We start from the raw sequence: 22,939 nt of genomic DNA on the forward strand, positions 1-22,939 counted from the left end.
TTTCAGCACCTTAAAGATGCCTTTGCACTGTATTACATATTTGTGATGAGAATTCTTCAGTTAATTGTATCTGTGTTCCCCTGTGTATAAGATATTATTTTTCTCTGGCTGTCTTAAAGATTTTCTTTTTCTGTTTAGTTTCCCATAATGTTCCACGGTGTAGTTTTATTTGTGTTTATCTTGCTTGCAGCTTGCTGAGCTTCTTGAATCTATAAATTAATGTTTTCATCCAATTTGGGAAGTTTTCAGCTATTATTCCTTCAGATATTTTTTCAGGTCTATTTTGTCTCTCCTCTCCTCCTGGCATCACAATGCATGTATATCAGACTACTTGATATTATCCTACAATTCACTGAGGCTCTGTTGATTGTTTTTTAATCTTTATTCTGTTTTTCACATTGAACAATTCTTACTGATATGAGTTTAAGTTTACTGATTATTTTTTCATTTCTATGCTTCATTTATTTCAAATGTTACATTTTTCAGTTCCAGAGTTTTCATTTGGTTATTCTTATTGGTTTCCATTATCCTGCTGAGATTCTCCTTCTTTTCAGTCATGATGACTATGTTTTCCTTTACATCCTTGGACATATTATAGTAGTTGCTTTATAATTCTTGTCTGAAAATTCTAATATCTAGGTCACCTCAAGATCTATTACAGTGGCTATTTTTTCTCTTGATTATGGGTCACATTTTCCCACTCATATGTCTTTTAAGTTTTGGTTAGATAATGAACACTGTAAATTTTGTTTTAGAGATTCCAAACTCTCTTCTTTTAAACAATGTTGATTGTTTTTTGTTCTATCAGGCAATAAAATCTCTAGCTGATTAGCTTGAGCTTTTGGGTACTTAGTGTTATACTTTGTTAGGAAGGATCTGTTTCGGTTTTGCCCTTAATGTTACGGTGACTCCTTTACACTGAAAGCACACACCCCTTCTGGGGTTTCAATAGAAAATCTGAGGCATTTACCAAGCCCCTCTAACTTGGGTGGGATTCAGATTCTGAACTTTGTAGGCAGTAGCTGTAGGCAGTAGGCAGCAGCTGAAAAGAGTCTCTGCTCAGCATTTTTGGCTTTCTAGTTATTGTTTTCCACTACGCTCATTGGCATATTCCCCACACATATGCAGTTTAGGGGTTATTCAAGGATTGATGGAAATTTATATACAGAATGGAGGGCTCTCTTCTTTATGGCTCTTTTCTTTCTGTGACTTACTCAATTCCCAGCCACTCTGGCAGCCCTAAACTCTATCCCCTGACACCTCAAGCCATTACAGCTGTGGCTTTCTCCTTGAGTTCTAATTGTTCTTTGTGGACTGGGGCATGCCTTCATGGGAGAAGCTATATAAACATAGTTCTCACTCTTTCAAGGATCAAATGACCCTCTTTCAAGGATCAAATTTCCTACATTCTCTGCCTTCTTTTAGTTAGACTATGAATAGTTTTTTTAACAAAAGTATTTTGTCCAGAGTTTGTAACAGCTATCTGCAGGAGAGTTAGTCTAAGATAGGTTCTTCCATCATTAATATAACTGGAAGTCTGTCACAGACATTTTAATTTGTGCTTTTGTGTGTGCACGCATGTTAAGATTAAATCGCTCCTTTCATTGCCCTGAATGCTCATAGGATCACTAAATAATATATATTGAAGGATTACTCGGGTGTTGTCCAGACTGTGTCATACTGCCAAGCATTGACCATCTGAAACCAATCATGATCGATCTCCCGTTTTTAAAGGAGGCCATGAAGAAAGATGCTTCCTTAGGAAATAAGCTCTTCTGTTTGGAGACTCCCAACCTTGTATTACAATTTAAGTCCATATAATGGCTTTAATGACTCAGGGTCATAGAGTTATACAGACAGAGGGATGTATAGGCCTTACTGAAGCCACACTGGTTCCACCACACCATGAATATGAGAGAGGCATCTTTCCCAGTGCCCCATGCTTGCTAGCCCTGTTTTCTTCGCTCTGCTCCACTCCTGCAGCTGCCATGGAGCCTATTATGTTTCATGTTTTACTTAGGCTGTCTCCCCTTTTCCCATTTTCAGAAATCTGTGTACCCCTGGTTCTGTTTACCTGACTTCTGAATCACTCTGATTACTCTGCCCCTTAATGTTACAGGCCAAACTACTTCTTCCCAAAATTTATATGTTGAAATCCTAACTTCCAGTGCCTCAGAATGTGACTTTATTTAGTGACAGGGTCTTTACAGAGGTAATCAAGTTAAAATGACGTCATTAGGGTGGGCCCTAATCCAATATGACTGCTGACTATATAAACAGACACAGAGATAGACATGCACAGAGAGACGATGACGTGAGGACACGTTGGGAGGAGACGGTCACCTACAAGCGAAGGAGAGAGGCCGGGGATAACTCCTCTCTTTACATCTCCCAGAAGCAACCAACCCTGCTGACACCCTGACTGGGACTTCCAGCCTCCAGAACCATGAGAAAATAAATTTCTGTTACTTTCGCCACCTACTTGCTGGTACTTTGCTCTGGCAGCCCTACCAGATCAGTATGCTTGCCACTTAACAAATCCTCTGCTCCCAATTTTCCTACTTGATTGTGACTCATGGCTTTAGTTTGTCTCTTGAGACCCACACCCCCTCTTGGTATGGAAAATGGGCAAAAATCAGAAGGTTTATGCTCTAACTCCTCACTTCAGTGGAATGACCTTTCTTTTTTTTTTTTTTTTTTTGAGACACAGTCTCATGCTGTTGCCCAGGCTGGAGTGCAGTGGTGCAATCTTGGCTCACTGCAACCTTCGCCTCCTAGGTTCAAGCAATTCTCCTGCCTCAGCCTCCCCAGTAGCTGGGATTACAGGCGCATGCCACCACACTCAGCTAATTTTTGTGTTTTTAGTAGAGGTGGGGTTTCGCCATGTTGGCCAGGCTGGTTTCAAACTTCTGACTTCAGGTGATCCACCCACCTGGGCCTCCCAAAGTGCTGGGATTACAAGTGTGAGACACCGCACCTGGCCTGGAGTGACCTTTCTGATCCTCAGATTCCTTATCCATAATATGGGGATATTGTTTCTATCCTACCTACCTAAAAAAGCTCAGATAGATGCTGCACATAAGAATGTAAAATACTACACAAATCAAAGGCATCCTGAATCTCACTCTTTATCCGTAATGTACTGTACCTCATACCCAATTATAACAGAACCTCTGTTAGAGGTCTCTTGAGCGGTTTCAAGTTCAGAATTCTCCATTCATAGGAGAGATGCTTGCAACCTGTTATTTCTAGTTTAAGAGGCAGGTGCCTAAGAAACCGTTTTGCTCAAAGAGGCAGGAATATGGGGTGATGCTTCAAGCTCCCATTGTTTTTATATTTCCAGAGGGTTTAAAAGTAATTCCTCAGACAACTTACCTATTTTTTTTCTTTTTTTTTTCTGAGATAGAATCTCCCTCTGTCACCCAGGCTGGAGTGCAGTGGTGCGATCTCTGCTCACTGCAACCTCCGCCTCCCGGGTTCAAGTGATTCTCCTGACTCAGCCACCTGAGTAGCTGAGATTACAGGCACGCGCCACCATGCCCAGCTAATTTTTTTTTGTATTTTTGGTAGAGATGGGGTTTCAGCATGATGGTCAGGCTAGTTTCGAACTCCTGACCTCGTGATCCGCCCCCCTTGGCCTCCCAAAGTGCTGGGATTACAGGTGTGAGCCACCGTGCCTGGCCAACTTACCTATTTTCATAGATGTTATAAGAAATAAGGTACAGAGTAAAGCAAACCAGTGCTTTTAGGCAATAAACTTTTTATTTTTTTATTTATTATTTTTGAGACAGTCTTACTTTGTCACCCAGGCTGGAGCACAGTGGCATGATCCTGGGTTTAAGCTATTCTTGTGCCTCAGCCTCCCGTGTAGCTGGGATTACAGGTGTCTGCCACCACACCCAGCTAATTTTTGTATTTTTAGTAGAGACGAGGTTTTGCCATTTTGGCCAGGCTGGTCTCAAATTCCTGGTCTCAAGTGATCTGCCTGCCTCGGCCTCCCAAAGTGTTGGGATTACAAGCGTGAGCCACTGAGCCTGGCTGGGAACGGACATTTTAGAAATACGTAAGGGAAGGAGAACTTTAGAAGCACATCCAACTGCCTTAACCAAATGGGTGCCTACTGAATGTGATTTTTAACTATGTAAAATTAAATGTAGGATGCTAGTCACTTTCCAACATACTTTGTATATTCTTTGTCAGTCTTTAAAATAATTTCATTATTGAGAATTTGAAAAAATTGTTTCTACAATTAAAACTTTTATAAAATAATTTATTAAAAAATACAACTTCCCCCAAATAGCTTACATTCTGGTTGCATGAATTTTTATGCAGTTTCTACTGTTACTCAAAAGAACTGAATTTTCAATGATTCTACCCTTTTCAGTTCTCTAGAATGCCTCCAGATGGCATTAAAAGCCTTTCCCATTATATTTTACAACACAAAAAAATTAAAAATTAGTAACATTTTAACCATTTAAGACCAGTCACATTCATTATAACATCTGAAAGCAGGACAATGGAACTATTTAAACTTTTAGGGAAGTATCTTAAGAAAGACAAACATATAATCATATCTCTTATGAAATACACAGCTCTCCTATTCAAGCCAAAGGATCTTTCTAGACAAAGAAACAGATTTTGGACAAAATAAGACACTCAGTATTTTACCACAAACTGATTTCCAATCAACAGCACTTAAAAAATGCTGTTTTTTAAAATCCTGATCCCCATACAGATAAATTCACAAAGCCTATCTTATAATAAGAAAACACATGCCACTGCTCATAAGTGATAAAAATAAAGATTTTTAAGGAGCAAACCTGTTATTGACTCTTATGGAACTAAAATAAAGTCACTTGTTAGCTCATGAATTTTTTAATTTAAATGTTGGTATATCAATTTGGCATCAAATTAATCAGTAAAAATATATTTGGATTCCTTGAATATTGAGAAGAAACAGACAAAACATAGAGTGAGGAGCACATGTTTTATAAGGGCCTTTTCTTATGTTTTTAAAACTGCTTTTGTTAATTCAAAAAAGAAACTCTTGAGATTCCAGAGATATCGATAATTGTGCTTTTCACATAATTCCAAGGTGAGGTTGCAGATGGCAAGCTTCTGAAATGACCTTGTTACTGCACAGCTGTGTGGGACAGCATACCTCCCAGTTTAAGTGTGAAAAGTTCTGCAATTCTTAAGATGATGCTGAAAGTCTCCAACCAAATCCCCCCAGCATACATGCTCAAATCTCATTACATTTCTACTTCATAAAGAGAAGCATTTGCATTTTTCAAGATTCCTCTTACTCTGCTAAAGCATAAAAAATGCATCTGCACCCAAAGCATTTAGAAAGACATTATCATGAGAAAAGAGAACCATGGGCTTCCTTCCATCATCATTATTACTATTACAAGATACTTGCACTATCTCATTTTATGAGGCATATTTAAGAACAGGCATCTCTGATAGAAAATGAAAGAAACTTACGATGTATTCGATGTGCCATTGTCTGGACTCTCTGGCTCTGCATCACCTTTCTCTTAAAAAGGAAGCAGAAAAAAATACCGACATATGAGTCTTACAGTCTTTAAGATTTAAGAGAGATTAAATATATTTCCATGCTCCTATTAACAATCTTTCAAAATGTGTAGCAGGAGGCTTTTAAAACATCTTTTATTGTCTGAGAACCGGATTTGCAAAATAATTTCTTTTCTGCAATGCAACTGCCCAGGCACAAATCTGTGAGTAGGTACTGAGGAGCTATTTGCAAACAACCAGAGGCTTGGAGTGGAGACTTTGCCAGAAGATGAATATCTTACAGATGGAACCTGTTTCCTTCCACTTCACTTTACAGAAAATTTCAGGAAATAAATCCATTGGCATTCTATATCCAAGGCACTTTGAACTTTGATTGCTTCTGCTAACATAAGCCAAACCAGGTCAGGCTGAATCAGAACTTGGAGGAAAGAATTTTTTTTTTTTTTTTTTTTGAGGCAGAGTCTCACTCTGTCACCCAGGCTGGAGTGCAGTGGCACAATCTCGGCTCACTGCAACCTCCACCTCCCGGGTTCAAGCAATTCTCCAGTCTCAGCCTCCCGAGTAGCTGGGACTACAGGTGCCTGCCACCACACCTGGCTGATTTTTATATTTTTTGTAGAGACAGGGTTTCACCATGTTGGCCAGGCTGGTCTCGAACTCCTGACCTCAAGTGATCTGCCCGCCTCGGCCTCTCAAAGTGTTGGAATTACAGGCGTGAACCACCACGTCCGGCCAGGAGGAGAGAATTTTTACTGAACACTGAGGTTGCACTGTAGGTCCCAAGATCCCCCTATTTTATACCCCATAGAGAGCCCTGGTGGCAGGTTTTGGGGCCCCTAGCTTAAAGCAGAATGAGATGTAAACCAGAAATCCTTTCTGACCATCTGAAAGGCTAGTTAAGGAAATGCTTCTGTGGGCTGTGATCACTGAGGAATTAACGAGTTGTACGTAGTTGGGGGAGCTTGGAACCAGTTCACTTCTTGTAGTTTACAGTAGGCTTAATGTAATTCCTAATCCTTAATCAATTGGTGGTTTGAACCATGCATCCTCATTCTGTAAGGAGTTTCTTTGTATTTCCTTGAGGCTTGGAGATGGAAGAAGTCACTGATAACTGAGAGCGTGGGCTCGTGTGTTTCCTGATGGTTGTGCAGAGCCAATACACCCCAGAGAAGGCTGTGAGTTGCAAGAAATAGGACTGTGGTAGTAACTTGGTTTGCTATGCTCTTTCAAGTCAGGCCTGGAGATCTCTAGAATCCCTTGGTCTACTGCTCACGTCCTTGGGCCCACACATTGTACCATACCCCTTTTGTCAGCTGTCAACATTAGCTTGTCGTCACCTAGTCCCAGGAATGACTCCCTAAATTACATAATGAACATATCCCAAAGGTATTGCCCAAACTGAACTCAAAAGCAAACTTTATATGTCCTTCTCTTTTTCTTATAGGAATAAACAGTTGTGAGAAAAAGAAGACACAGTTTCTACAGTTCGTACATCTATCTCAGACATTTATCCAGTGCCAGAACAGCTATGAGGGACTTTGGCTAAAAGCTGGTCAGATGAGGGGGAAAAACAAAAAAGCCACAAAATCTATTTTAACTGCCTTGATAACAAACATTGATTAGGCAGGGCCTCAATACATATAAAACCATGTTGGAATAAAGGCTAAAGTAGCAAATTAATAAATTTGCTTTAAAGCTCATTCTTGTATATTTTCTTTTGTCTTCCAGGCAAGGTCTGTGGTGCACTCATTTAGGAGGCAAATAAGGCCTGTTCAACTGGTTTCAGTGCTGGAAAATAATTTAGTACTTTGCAGAAACATTTTTTCCATGGACTAACCACAATCCCTCTTGTAATCCTAAAATAGAGAGTTATAACACCTGCATTATATAAGACAAAACTAAATGGAAGTATATTTTTTTTCTCAAATATATGGATCCTTTCCCCCAACCTGCTTTAATTTGGTGAAACTGGTTACTTTCCCCAGTCTCTAGCCTGCAGTAGTTACCACATTCCATCTTAATGAAGAATGTAAAACAGCAGGCTTGGAAGCAGCAGGCAATGGTAAAATTCCCAAACAATTTATGTCAGAAAACAGGAAATTGAAAATAAAAACGAAGGCATTGTTTGGATGTTTGAAGAAATATGTTTTGCCTTGACCAATCATGCTGCCCAAGTCTTCAGCATGGGGACAGATGCGCAGCTGATTATCTTTGCTCTTAGCAGCACTTATGTTGTGGCAACAGGGCAAACAGAATAGGTTCTGGCAAATAGGAAGGATATAGTGGGGCCAAACAGGACATGGTGAACAGTCTGAGAGGGAGTGTTCTCAGCAAATTCAGTGCTGATAATGAATTTGCCTTTCTGGGGGGAAAAGTAAGCTGGTCAGGAACGAGATGGGATTAAAACTATTTTTGTCCTTCAGAAAGAATAAAACACAAAGCTTCCCCCACATCTTGAAATTTTAGGTGATGAAATTTCTGAAGTTAACTTGAAATGTTTAAGTGTATACACCACTGAGAATTATGGTCTCTTTATTAGGACCCAAGGGAAAATGATGAATGTAATGGAACATTCTAGAACATTAGTACAAATTTTTTTTTTTTTAGTTGGGTGTGCAGGAGATGTTTCCCACCCCGCCCCCTGCCCGCCCCACCATCCAAAGACAGCTGTCTCCAGGGTCCTCCTGTTTGTGTCAGCTGTTTTCATGATGGATATTTCATGATGGACCAATGTTTCACACTGGTCTCTTTGGGAGGGAATCTGCATTGGTCATTAATAAGCTGGGTGCAGGGAAGCCATTTTACATGCGGAAATACAATTACAGAGAGGAAGAGGGGAAAAAATGAGCCACGGAAAGAACTATATATGCAAATATATATGCATATATGTAAATATATGTAAAATCTATGTATCTATGTGTATTATACACTTTCAATTTGACAGTCCATATTTGTCTGGCTGGGCCTTCCACATTGCCTAACATACACTAGGTGCTCAGTATGTGTCTTCTGTTCTGATGCCCTGTCACTAATACAGAATTCCATGCTGCAGTGGGAAAAGATGCTTAAGGTACCCTCGCCAGTGAGACGAAATATACAGTTTGAGATATGAAACAGCTTGCTGACTCCAATAGGTCACTTAAAAAATTATAACAGTTACCTTTTTAACGCAATGTACAGAGGACTTCTATGTTGGGTGCTCTTGTGAGCATAAAGATAAATAATGTGGAATTCATGCTCTTTAAACATTTAAATGGACTGCACTGCTGGAGTATCTTACTTTCCATCAATAGTGTCATATAGGGACTAAATATGTTTTTTGAAAAGAAAATCAAAATAATCCTGCATTAAACTGAATTCTGCACAGGGAAGTTTTGCTATACTGCAACTTTTTTTTTTTTTTTTTGAGATGGGGTCTCACTCTGTTGCCCAGGCTGGAGTGCAGTGGTGCACTCTCTTCACTGCAACCTCTGCCTCCTGGGTTCAAAGCGATTCTCCTGCCTCAGCCTCCCGAGTAGCTGGGACTACAGGTGCCTGCCACCATGCCCGGCTAATGTTTTTATTTTTAGTAGAGACGAGGTTTCACCATATTGGCCAGGCTGGTCTCCAACTCCTGACCTTGTGATCTGCCTGACTTAGCCTCCCAAAGTGCTGAGATTACAGGTGTGAGCCACCGTGCTCGGCCATATACTGCCACATTTCTACACAGTTATATCAAAAGCAATCCATGTTTATGGTTTTAAAAAAATGAACAGAAAAGAAAAGGTAATGACTTTGCTTACTTTTATTTTAAATTCTGTTAGCCCTTCAATGATTAGTCTAAGTGATGTGTTTTTCTTTGCTTGAGATGGAGTCCCAGTCTGTTGCCCAGACTGGAGTGCAGTGGTGCAATCTTGGCTTACTGCAATCTCTGCCTCCCGGGTAATCTCAAGTGATTCTCCTGCCTCAGCCTCCTGAGCAGCTGGGATTACAGCTGCATGCCAAAACACCTGGCTAATTTTTATATTTTTAGTAGAGATGGGGTTTCACCATGTTGGCCAGGCTGCTCTCGAAATCCTGGCCTCAAGTAATCTGCCCTCCTTGGCTTCCCAAAGTGCTGGGATTACAGGTGTAAGCTACCGTGCCCAGCCAATGCGTTTTTATTTCTAGATGTACCAACTTTAGACAGTGCCTAATGATTTCTGATATGAAAGACAAGAGGCAAGGTATTTAATAGTCTCCCCTCCCTTATAATTTTTATTAGTTCTGTTATTATTTTTAGTGCCTCTAGTGGGCATTTGTAACTTTAAATATATTTAATCTTATTTCTCTTGATTAATCACCTTCTGACAGTATCTTTTCTTTCATACCATGTAAAATGAGGAAACTCACCCATCTATCCTTCCCTCCCACCTCCCCGCTCACAGCTATGTCTTTCCTTTTATATCACCAAGATTTAAAATATTCATACTCTGTTCAGTAATTATTGAGTCATCCTCCTTAATACTAATTTAGTTAATAATTTAATTTTTGGTCTTGCCTATAGGTCAAGTAAAAAATCATAAACCAATAATGAGAATTTGCAATATTGTGACAATATAAATATTAGTCACTAAAGAAGAAAGCAGCTTGAGTAGACCTGAACAGGAGGCAATGTCACTAAGGTAGAATGAGTGCAAATGTTCCCGACATTTATGTCAAATGAATTCTCATTGTTATGTTCTACCACGTCACAGGTTTGTCTCAAGCTAAGGTTATGTTCTCCCTAAAATACTGTTAAATAGAGCACGCATTTAGTGAACATAAAATGTATATTTACATGAAATGTATATAGACACTTTCAAAGCATTAAAATGAATGAACTGTGAAAACACCTTCCAGGCCAGGGATGGAACATCATCGAAAGTGCCTTCACTGGCTCCCATCTCTTCCCACCCTTCCCACCAGCTATTGGTAAAAGAATTGTGGCTGGGCACAGTGGCTCACGCCTGTAATCCCAGCACTTTGGGAGGCTGAGGCAGGCAGATCACGAGGTCAGGAGATTGAGACCATCCTGGCTAACATGGTGAAACCCCGTCTCTACTAAAAATACAAAAAAATTAGCCAGGCGTGGTGGTGGGCGCCTGTAGTCCTAGCTACTCGGGAGGCTGAGGCAGGAGAATGGCATGAACCTGGAGCTTGCAGTGAGCCGAGATTGTGCCACTGCACTCCAGCCTGGGCAACAGAGCGAGACTCTGTCTCAAAAAAAAAAAAAAAAAGAATTGTGTGTTAATCATTCTCTTTGTTTTCTGGAGAGTTTTTTTTTTCTTTTTAACCGCCTATGTATGTATTAATAAATTAACTCTGTTTTGGTAGTTGTTGTTTCTAAACTTCATACGACTCTAATCATACCTAGGCATTCTTCTGAGACTCACTTCTATCATGCAGTGTTATGAATTTTAGATTTAGCCATCATCCTGCATGTAGCTACAGTTTGTTCATCCTCACTGCTGTGCAATACTTTATTGTATAAATATACCAGTTTCTTATTTGTTCTTCTCCTGATGGACATTTAGATTTTTGCCATCATGAACAATAGAACTGCAAACATTCATGAACACCCTTCCTCATGCACATGTTAGGAGTTCTGGGCCTTAAGACTTCCATATGGCCAACTTTAGCAGGGAATCCAAAACTGATTTCCAAATTAACACTCCCCAGACAGTATATGAGACTTCAAACTGATTCACATCCATACCAACACTTGTTATGATCAAGGTTTTAAAGTTTTTTCTAATTTAATAATGTAGAATATAATTTTGTTGTGGTGTCTGCATTTCTCTGAGCACTAATGAGGTAAATATTTTGTACTTGCTCTTCTGTGTCATTTCTTAAAAATTATTTTTTAGTATTAATTTCTTATTCATAGAAACATTTTATTGTCTCAATAAGAGTCATACATATAGTCGTGTGTGTGTGCGTGTATAACTTTTCAATACATATATAAAACTTGGCCGGGCGCGGTAGTTCATGCCTGTAATCCTAGCACTTTGGGAGGCCGAGGCAGGCGGATCATGAGGTCAGGAGATTGAGACCATCCTGGCTAACACAGTGAAACCCTGTTTCTACTAAAAATATAAAAAATTAGCCGGGTGTGGTGGCGGGCGCCTTGTAGTCCCAGCTACTAGAAAGGCTGAGGCAGGAGAATTGCTTGAACCTGGGAGGTGGAGGTTGCAGTGAGCCAAGATCGCGCCACTGCACTCCAGCCTGGGCGACAGAGCGAGACTCCGTCCAAAAAAAAAAAAAACCAAAACAACAACAACAACAACAACAAAACTTTTCCCAGTGTTAGCCTTTTTATTTTTTCTATTATCTTTGGATAATGTTAAGTTCTTAATTTTAATGTACTCAAATTTATAGATAATTTTCTTTATTTGACACTTTTTGTGATTTAAGAAAAACATCAGAAAAATGTTTTATACTGTCTTCTAAAAGTATATACTTTTACTGATTTTTAAAAAATACCTGGATTGGTTTTTGTATATGGCGTGGGGTAGGAGTTAAGTTTCGTTTTTCTCCCTAGAAATAACCAGTTATTATGGTACTTGAAGTCCATTCTTTCTCTATTAATCTATATCATCATCTCTGCCATGAGTCCAGTTTTCATACGCCTGTGGATCTGCTTCTGGGTCTCTACTCACTCACTTTCATTGCTCAATTTGTCTATTACTGCCCTCATTACTTAGCTTTAATATATATTTAAAAATATTCGTAAGGCAAAGCTCCAACCTTGCTATTTAGGAACATCTTGGCTATTCTTAGCCCTTTGATCTATTGTATAAATTTGAGTATCATCAGTTTGTCAATTTCCACATACCCAAAAGTTGGAAATTTGATTGGAGCTGTATTAAATCTATAGATATCTGAAGAGAACTTGTATCTTTACAACACTGCATCTTCCAATTCATGTACTTGGTATTAGGCGTCTCCATTTATTTTGATATTTCTTAACGTATTTCAATAGTTTGTTAATTTTCTCCATAGAGGTCTTAACACATCTCTTGACAGGGTTATTGCTTAGTAACTTATATTTTTATACTAATATTAAAAGTTTTAAACTATAATTTTCAGTTGTTAGTGTAGGGAAATGAAATTAATTGTGTATACAGCAATCTTGCTAAATTTTCTTATTAATCCTAATAATCTGTAGATTCTTTTGAGTTTTCTGCATAAACAATATAATTTGAGAAAATGAATGTTCTTCTCCTTTCTAACAGGTACTTTTTTTTCTTAATTTATTGCCTCGACCAAGGATGTCCATCCAGTATAATGTTGCATAAAAGTGGAACTCATGTCTTGTTCCTCATCTTGAGGGGAACGCTGCAAATGTTTCAACACTAAATAGGATTCTTGTTTTGAGTTTTTTTGGCAGATACTGTTATTGTGTTAATGAAGTGGGCTTCTATTCCTGATTTGCTATTTTTCCTTTAAATCATGTATAGTGAATTTTATCAAATGCTTTTTCTTAATTTATTGAAACAATCCTATTTTTCTTTTAATATTTTAATATAATTAATCATGTTAATATTATAAAAAGGATCCAATTTTGAATTCCTAAAATAAGTACAGTTTCTTAATTATGAGTTATATTTTAAAATATATTTTGTACTTGGCTGGATGGAATTTACAAATATTTGACCTAGAATTTTTACATTTATGATCATGAATGATACCTGTGAATTCTTTTTCTTGTACTGGCTTGTCAAGTTTTGATATCAAGGTTATACTGCCTTGATATAATGAGTTGAGAACTGCTGGCTTTTTCTAATTCTCTGAAGAAGGGTGTAGGTTTGGAATTACCTCTTCCTGTGAGTTTGGTAGAATTCTTAGTAAAAATGTCTAGCCTTGAAATTGTGTGGTGGAATGATTTTTAAAAAATTACTGGGCCAATTGTTAAAACGGCTATAGGATTATTCAGGTTATATTTATATGTAAATTTCATATAAAACATATACATATATACATGTAATACCTGAAAAATCATTTTAATCATAGTCATTTCGTCTAGTTTTGAAAAAATTTTGGTATAATTTTGCACATAACATATTTTTGTTCTTGATCTGCATCACAGTTTATTCCCTTTTTGATTCCTAATATTATTTATTTGTGCCTTTTCTCTTTTTGTCCTGATCAATCTCTCTGCAAAGTTTGTCAACTGTATTATAACTTCATTGAATAAACTTTTGGCTCCATTGACATTTAAAATTTTATCTCTGCTATTTTATTAATTTCTGCTTTTGTTTTTTTTTTGTAAATCTCTTTTCCATTTGTTTTGGGTTTATTTTCTCTTCTTTCAGCTCTTAAGATAGATGCTTAGTTCATTAATTTTTTGTTTGCTAGTATGAGTCATTTCCTTATTTATTTAGAGACGGAGTCTCACTCTGTCATCCAGGCTGGAGTGCAGAGGTGAGATCTCGGCTCACAGCAACCTCCGCCTCCCAGGCTCAAGCGATTCTCCTGCCTCAGTCTCCCGAGTAGCTGGGACTACAGGCGCCTGCCACCACACCCAGCTAAATTTTGTATTTTTAGTAGAGATGGGGTTTCACCACGTTGGCCAGACTGGTCTCGAATTCCTGACCTCAATGGATCCGCCCACCTCAGCCTCCTAAAGCACTGGGATTACAGGCGTGAGCCACTGCACCCAGCTTCTAGTATGAGTATTTCAGATGCAAAGCTGCAACTTTCCCTCTAATTTAGTTTCTTCCTCCAGTTTTAATATTAGGTATTTCTATTACCTTTCAGTCCCAAATATTTACTAATATCTAGAGTGATTCTTAATTTCTAAACATGTGTTTTCCCTCCTAGTCATATTTTCATTATCAATTTCTAATTTAATCATACTGTGGTTGGAGACCATGGTAAATATAATATTTATCTTTTAAAATCTGTTGAAACTTGCTTTATGGTCCAGTAGTTGTCAATTTTCATAACTGTTCCCTGTCTGCTTGAAAATAATGCATATTCTGCAGCTGTTGGGTAATGTACTCTTGCTCATTGTGTTGTTTAAATCTTATGTATCCTTACTAATTTTTCTGTTTGCATTATACAACAGTTACGAATTTCTGTTTACATCTTCCATTAAGATAATACATTTCCCCTTGTAATTTGTGACTTTTACTTTTAAAAATTTGAAGCTTTGCTATTTGGAATTTACATATATCAAATTATTTTGTCCATATGGTAAGTTGTATCTTTCCTTGGGTAGTGACCCTTTTTAACTGTAGTAATGCTTTTTGCTTAAAGTTTATTTTTCTGGTATCAGAATAAACATATCATGCTTTTTTATCACCAGTATTTGGCTGGCATATATTTTCCTAACCTTTTTCCTTTCAAATTTTCTGAATCTTTAATTTCTAAATGTGTCATTGTAAATAGCACAGAGCTAGAGTTTTATTTTTTAAATCAATTTGGTCAATATTTGTTATTGAATCATTGCATCTAATCCATTTGTTTAAATTACTGATTTTTTTTTTTTTTTTTTTGAGACGGAGTCTCACTCTGTTGCCCAGGCTGGAGTGCAGTGGCACAATCTTGGCTCACTGCAACCTCCACCTCCCAGGTTCAAGCGATTCTCCTGCCTCAGCCTCCTGAGTAGCTAGGACTACAGGCATACGCCACCACGCCCGGCTAATTTTTGTATTTTTAGTAGAGATGGGGTTTCACCATGTTGGCCAGGCTTGTCTCGAACTCCTGGCCTCAAGTGATCTGCCCACCTCGGTCTCCCAAACTGCTGGGATTACAGGCGTGAGCCACCACGCCCGGCCTTTAAATTACTGATTTAATTTATGCTACCATATTTTTCCATATACTCTGTTTCATTTTCTCTTCTTCAATTCTTTTGGATTAACTAATAATATTCATATTCTATTTTTAGCTTGGTTTGTAAGATGTTCTCCACATTTAGTTTGTAGGTTAAATACCTTTTAGTATAGTTTAGTGGGTACCCTACAAATTGCAAATATTTACTTAATTTATCAAAGCCCAAAGTTAAAATTTTTATCCTTCTCCAAAATAATTACAGGAACTTAGAAGATTTTAATTCCACATTCTCATCTTATTTTATGCTATTGTTTTGTGGATTCCAATTGTATTTATTTTGATTACTTAACAATATATTATTACTGGTGCATGCAATCAACATTGTTTAAATTTTCCCCATATTTACTTTCACTGCATTTAATCTTTCTCGCACCTCACATTCCTTCTGAACAAAGTATGTCTTTTAAAATTTCTTTTGTGAGGATTTACTGGTGGCATACTTTCCCAGCTTTTGTCTGAAAATGTCTTGACTCATTAAATTTTTTTTTTGCAAGATACACAATCCTAAGCTGATAGTTATTTTTTCCCAACTCAGTGATGCTTCAGCTTCTCTGTTTGCAGGCTCCCACTGATGCTGTTGTGAAGTCAGGTGTAAGTTGGTTGAGTTGTTGAAGATATTAAAGGGTATTTTAATTTTTATGTGCACTTTAGCTATAATGTGTGTAGTGTGGACTTTTTTTTTTTTCATTTATCCTTGGTATTCACTGGGTTTCTTGACTCTGTGGATTAATGTCTTTCAAGTCTGGAAAATTCTCAGCCATCAATCATCTTCAGTACTGTCTCGCTTCCCTTTCCCTTTCTGAAATTCTAGTTAGATGCATGTTAGACTTCCCCACTTTATCTCCATGTCTCTTAACTAATTTCCTGTTTTCCATTTCTGTCTCTCTAGGCTGCATTCTAGATAATTTCTTAAATTCAACTTTCCAATTCATTAATTCTTTCTCAGCTATGTCTAATGTGCTGTTACATCTGCCCATGGAAATTCTAATTCCTATTATATTATTTTATTCCTAGAATTCTGTTTAACACTCCTCCAAGTTTTCTTGCTCTTTACCACATTTCCAATCCTCTCTTTTATTTCCAGAAATTAAAGCAAGGGCTCTAATTTCACATTCTAGGCTTGATAACCCCAGTTTCTGAATTAGGAGTCTGATTCTCCGCTGTCCTGTTTGTTCTTGCTCTTGCTCGTGGTCTCGTTTCCTTTTTTGTAAGGGGTTCTTTTCTGATTGTAAGTTGCTCATTTCCCTTAGTGCTCTATTTCTGTTATTATTCATTCCTCTCCATTTTCTTTTTCTGCCACCTTGACTGGCTGTGTATCTTCAATCCCTTTCATATTTTCCATCTGTGTTTTGCTTTATACTCAGAAAAAAAAAGTTTTCAACTTTATATTCAACGTTTCAGACTTCAGCTATTATCATCCCTTCTATTGTTTGTCAATCATATTTTTAATTCTCAAGTGTTCATTTGTTCTGTAATTACCTCTTTTTCATACCAATCTGTTCTCTTTTTATTTAACACAAATAATTTCAAATCTTTCTAAGGACTGCAATTATACTTGAAACTTTTTTCTTCTTTACCTTGAATTAGATTTCCTAGATTTCCTTTGGGACTAGTCTTTCTTTTTGGCGTCACTGGTTATATATTCATATTTTTAAATAAAAAATTGGTTAACAAAGGTAGTTGGCGTGGCTTTCCTGTATCAGTATTCCGATCAATTTTTCTAACACACCTATCCTTTGTAGGGAAGAGCTGATTTATGGCTCTTTGTAAGTGGGCAGGGTATGCTGATGTGAAGGATTCATTTAGGGCTCAAGAGAAGAGAAGCCTCCAGGCAAGCTGTAAGCCCAAGCCCTTCCTCCACCCACTCCTCTAAGAAAAATATAAAGCACTGTACTTTAGGTGTATAGAATTTTTGTTTATTTCCCTTGAGAAATAGTTGACTCTTCTGCCATTACTCCATGTCATCTATTTTTAAGGTCTGGTACTATCTTAGAATGTATTCTGTTTCTCTCTTTGGTATTAGTTCTCAGTGAGGAGTGAACTGTTCAATTTTTTTTTTTTTTAGCAAATATTATGGTACTTTTTGTTTTTGGGGGTTTTTGAGAAAAAATCATCCTGAAAGCTCTGTGTGGGAATCCGTGAGGATGGGGGTGGAGGGGTAATGGTTGAAGGATGGCCAGGTGTTCCCATCACTGCAAGCAATTCGCACTTGTTCTCTCTTGGGGTCCAGTGGAAATGTGGTCTTTCCTGGGGCTCCTGGGGGCTGTTCCCACCACCACTAAAACTTGTTCCTGTCTGATTCTTCCTTTGCTGTGTCACGACCTTCCCTGTTCAGGGGTATTTTTCAGTAGGGTTTTATTACTTTCGGCTTTCCAGAACACAACTAAATTTCTGGTTTGCTGATGGCACTTATTCTGATGGTGCTATTTTGGATTTATTTCCATTTCTACAGCTTCATGGCTATTAGGTGGGGATTCTGAAGGAAGGGGAAGGATTGCTTAAATGCAGTCACTCAACTGAACAGGACGTTCTCATAATTTTTAAAAATGTAGACATAAATCATCCATGTTAATATTCAAGTATCTCAATGCTTAATAAGCTTCCATTTTATAATATCAAGTTCAATTGATCAGTAATTCAGCAAACGATCTACCTTTTAAAAGATTTGTATTGAAAGTCATTTTCTGTTTATACAATCTTTCCTTTAGTATCTATAATACAGTCTTTCTCACTTCAAAGAGAATAGAAGCACTGGCCTAAAATAATGAGTTAGTAATCAATCCACACAGATATTTTGTTTTTGGTTTCTCTGAAGCTCAGTATTTCTCTATTTCTTTTTTTTAATTTTTATTTTATTATTATTATACTTTAAGTTTTAGGGTACATGTGCACAATGTGCAGGTTAGTTACATATGTATACATGTGCCATGCTGGTGTGCTGCACCCATTAACTCATCATTTAACATTAGGTATATCTCCTAAAGCTATCCCTCCCCCCTCCCCCCACCCCACAACAGTCCCCAGAGTGTAATGTTCCCCTTCCTGTGTCCATGTGTTCTCATTGTTCAATTCCCATCTATGAGTGAGAATATGCGGTGTTTGGTTTTTTGTTCTTGCGATAGTTTACTGAGAATGATGAGTTCCAATTTCATCTATGTCCCTACAAAGGACGTGAACTCATCATTTTTTATGGCTGCATAGTATTCCATGGTGTATATGTGCCACATTTTCTTAATCCAGTCTGTCATTGTTGGACATTTGGGTTGGTTCCAAGTCTTTGCTATTGTGAATAGTGCCGCAATAAACATACGTGTGCATGTGTCTTTATAGCAGCATGATTTATAGTCCTTTGGGTATATACCCAGTAATGGGATGGCTGCGTCAAATGGTATTTCTAGTTCTAGATCCCTGAGGAATCGCCACACCGACTTCCACAATGGTTGAACTAGTTTACAGTCCCACCAACAGTGTAAAAGTGTTCCTATTTCTCCACATCCTCTCCAGCACCTGTTGTTTCCTGACTTTTTAATGATTGCCATTCTAACTGGTGTGAGATGGTATCTCATTGTGGTTTTGATTTGCATTTCTCTGATGGCCAGTGATGGTGAGCATTTTTTCATGTGTTTTTTGGCTGCATAAATGTCTTCTTTTGAGAAGTGTCTGTTCATGTCCTTTGCTCACTTTTTGATGGGGTTGTTTGTTTTTTTTCTTGTAAATTTGTTTGAGTTCATTGTAGGTTCTGGATATTAGCCCTTTGTCAGATGAGTAGGTTGTGAAAATTTTCTCCCATTTTGTAGGTTGCCTGTTCACTCTGATGGTAGTTTCTTTTGCTGTGCAGAAGCTCTTTAGTTTAATTAGATGCCATTTGTCAATTTTGGCTTTTGTTGCCATTTTGACATGAAGTCCTTGCCAATGCCTATGTCCTGAATAGTAATGCCTAGGTTTTCTTCTAGGGTTTTTATGGTTTTAGGTCTAACGTTTAAGTCTTTAATCCATCTTGAATTAATTTTTGTATAAGGTGTAAGGAAGGCATCCAGTTTCAGCTTTCTACATATGGTTAGCCAGTTTTCCCAGCACCATTTATTAAATAGGGAATCCTTTCCCCATTGCTTGTTTTTCTCAGGTTTGTCAAAGATCAGATAGTTGTAGACATGCGGCGTTATTTCTGGAAGCATTCCCTTTGAAAACTGGCACAAGACAGGGATGCCCTCTCTCATCACTCCTATTCAACATAGTGTTGGAAGTTCTGGCCAGGGCAATTAGGCAGGAGAAGGAAACAAAGGGTATTCAATTAGGAAAAGAGGAAGTCAAATTGTCTCTGTTTGCAGATGACATGATTGTATATCTAGAAAACCCCATTGTCTCAGCCCAAAATCTCCTTAAGCTGAGAGGCAACTTCAGCAAAGTCTCAGGATACAAAATCAACGTACAAAAATCACAAGCATTCTTATACACCAACAACAGACAAACAGAGAGCCAAATCATGAGTGAACTCCCATTCACAATTGCTTGAAAGAGAATAAAATACCTAGGAATCCAACTTACAAGGGACGTGAAGGACCTCTTCAAGGAGAACTACAAGCCACTGCTCAATGAAATAAAAGAAGATACAAACAAACGGAAGAACATTCCATGCTCATGGGTAGGAAGAATCAATATCATGAAAATGGCCATACTGCCCAAGGTAATTTACAGATTCAATGCCATCCCCATCAAGCTACCAATGACTTTCTTCACAGAATTGGAAAAAACTACTTTAAAGTTCATATGGAACCAAAAAAGAGCCCGCATCGCCAAGTCAATCCTAAGCCAAAAGAACAAAGCTGTAGGCATCACACTACCTGACTTCAAACTATACTACAAGGCTACAGTAACCAAAACAGCATGGTACTGGTACCAAAACAGAGTATTTCTCCATTTCTTACATGTTTACTGGAATCATGATTCCTAACCATATACAAAAACAGCAAGGGAAATGCTGGTGGGGTCAGTTCTCCTAAAGTTTCAAATGTGCTGTAAATTGCAGAGAATTCTCAGACTTAATAGGAATATTATTTTTGTATACATGTGCTGGGGTTTTGGAGAAAGATTTATTTAAAAATGAAAAAAGGCCAGGTGTGGTGGCTCACACCTATAATCTCAGCACTTTTGGAGGCCAAGGCAAGAGGACCGCTTGAGGCCAGGAGTTCAAGACCAGCCTGTGCAACATAGTGAAATGCTGTCTATAAGAAAAATTTTAAAAAGTGGTATGTGCCTGTAGTCCTGGCTACTTGGGAAGCTAATGTGGGAGGATTGCTTGAGCCCAGGAATTCAAGGTTATAGTGAGCTATAATTGTGTCACTGTACTCTAGCCTGGGCAACAGAGCAAGACCTTGTCTCAAGAAAATGAAATTAAAAAAAAAATCCCCTTACTCCTAGAAAAGAAAAAGCCAATCAAAAACCTTTCTTGGACAATGAAATGCCAGAGGGTTTTATACCACACAGGGATAGTGCCACATCATGTCTTGTAGAAGAAGCATCCGTTTTTATAGAATCTAAATTGCAGTGAATATTATAGCATGCCATAAAAATATGCCGGGTGCACACAGAAATCACAGCAGACAGTCCTTGGACAATAATTCAATCTCACGGTGAAGTGATAGCAGCAGCTTTCTGGGAATCAACAGAGTGGGATGAAAAGCTCGTGTCTTTGGGGCAGAGAGCCCTGAATTCAAATTCTAGCTGTCATTTTTTTAGCCAGGTGATTAAAAAATGACTCGTTATTAGCCTCAGAAACTCATCTTCTTCATGTGAACACTGAGATCATGCAGCTCATGCAGCTATTGTAAAGATTAAGTGAAATACTGTAAGTCAGGACGCTAGCGCAGAATAGACACTCAACAAGAATTTCCTTTGCTCTTCTGTCTGTCAAAAATGCCAAGCTGGCAGAAGGTGCATTTATTCATCTGTGGGATTCCCCCTTTACCCTGAACATTTAAATTCAATGGTGAGACACAGGGAGGAAAGCAAGGGTAACTCTTCAAGACACTCTAGTCTGTGGTGTGCGATGCTGACGTCTGTATACCACGACGTGGACTTAACCAAGTGTTTCTTCTGATCTCTTTTCTTAGGACTAAATTCATCATTTTCTTCAGATTTCATGTCTTTTGTCATTTTGCCTCATCGCTGGTGCCTGTACCCACAGCAAATCCCAACAGAGGGTGGGATAATTAAGTGATATTGCCTCCGCACCACTGTGCCATCACCCCCTCCACCGGCCTTTCTCTAGCTGCGCATGAAAATTCTGCTGCTTCCCAGTGCATTTGCCAGGACATCTTTTCTCTCCGGCCCATTTGCCTCACAGATGCCCAGTGGTTGAGCCTCAGTTCCACAGACAGATCTACAGCTCAGAGGATGTTCAGTCTTCAAATGCAGCTTTGTAATTGGCAAGGGGTGCTCTTAGCTTGCTGGCTGGTCGTGAAACTAACAAAGCCCAGTCTTTGTGAGTGTGCTTTTAGGACACGAGCAGGGTAGCTTATGAATTTTTAATGCTCAAGCCAACGTTAATACCAATTAGTAGTGCCAAAGAAGAGAATTAAAACACTACTTCATGGAATGATAGCATCCTCTCTTTGACAAAAAAGCCCATGTGTTTTAATAGCCACCAATTCAATAAGGAAACTGCTTCTTAGATAGTTGAGTCTGTCTATTTCTGGAAGAGGGCACAGTACATATACCCAGCCGGTTGTGACTTTTCTTCATGGATTCTAAGGTCAATTATCTTAAGGTCTACTGATTGATTTTCTTTGCCCACTCATTTTCCTTTAATTTAGACAACCAATTATGTGCCTTTTAAGTTTTTTTCTCCCTCCACATATACTAGGAACAGCCATAATAAAGCATGAAGTTCCTTTCTCTTGGGATGGCTTTGAAATTCACCATTTTCTGTTTTGGCCTTCCTTTCCTTGAATATGCACACTTAAGGTCATCATAAATCTTATTCATTTGGGCAGCACTTGAACAAATGGCCCCTTTCCCCAGTTTTTTAGTGAATTTCTTTGAAACCTACTGTCCAATGTGTGCTCATCCTCCCTCCCCTTCTGCCCTCTGCCCCCACCCCCTGCTCCCCAGATGAAACTCCAGAGCGAAGTCTTTCTTACTTGGATTATTGTGTCCAGAGGATACAAGCTGAGAGTCCTGAAAGAACAAGAAATATCAATTAATTTTCTTATTTTGACTTTCAAAATCCAAGTTAAACATGAGATCATGTTTAAAACTGGTCATTCAGAACCGATTCATTGCTCTCAATCTCTATCAGCTACTTTAATGAGAAACATATACATGAAGGTGGACACATACATGTTAAGCAGTTCTGGGAATATACTTCACAATCATTTTTCTTTTGTATTAATGACTTTCTGTTTTGTTTATTGAGGTGAAGTTCACATAACATTAAAATTAACCATTTTAAAGTGAACAATTCAGTGGCATTTGGTACTTTCATAAGGTTGTGCAACCACTACCTCTATCTAGTTACAAAATATTTCCATCACTCTGAAGTCAAATCCCTTACCCATTAAGCAGG

The 22,939-nt window shown here is 38.2% G+C and overlaps 1 protein-coding gene across 20 annotated transcripts in view, besides 1 other annotated feature; it reads right to left on the reverse strand.

The window, feature by feature from the left end:
- AFF3 (ALF transcription elongation factor 3) overlaps window positions 1-22,939 on the reverse strand; it is a 597,172-nt gene that overhangs the window by 176,171 nt on the left and 398,062 nt on the right. For all 20 annotated transcript variants that reach the window (NM_002285.3, XM_047444286.1, NM_001386135.1 and 17 more), the window contains 2 exons: window positions 22,515-22,551; window positions 5,488-5,539 (listed from right to left, as the gene is read on the reverse strand). In NM_002285.3, coding sequence (NP_002276.2) covers window positions 5,488-5,539; window positions 22,515-22,551 — 89 coding nt within the window. The remainder of the gene's footprint in view (window positions 1-5,487; window positions 5,540-22,514; window positions 22,552-22,939) is intronic.
- Window positions 13,804-14,004: a silencer, noted in NCBI's record as "peak3801 fragment used in MPRA reporter construct". NCBI's record gives its function as "represses an SCP1 promoter by STARR-seq MPRAs in K562 erythroleukemia cells {active_cell/tissue: K562}" and the evidence as "EXISTENCE:reporter gene assay evidence [ECO:0000049][PMID:32103011]".

This window comes from Homo sapiens, chromosome 2 (assembly GCF_000001405.40).
Source record: "Homo sapiens chromosome 2, GRCh38.p14 Primary Assembly".
In the NCBI taxonomy this organism is placed as follows: domain Eukaryota; kingdom Metazoa; phylum Chordata; class Mammalia; order Primates; family Hominidae; genus Homo; species Homo sapiens.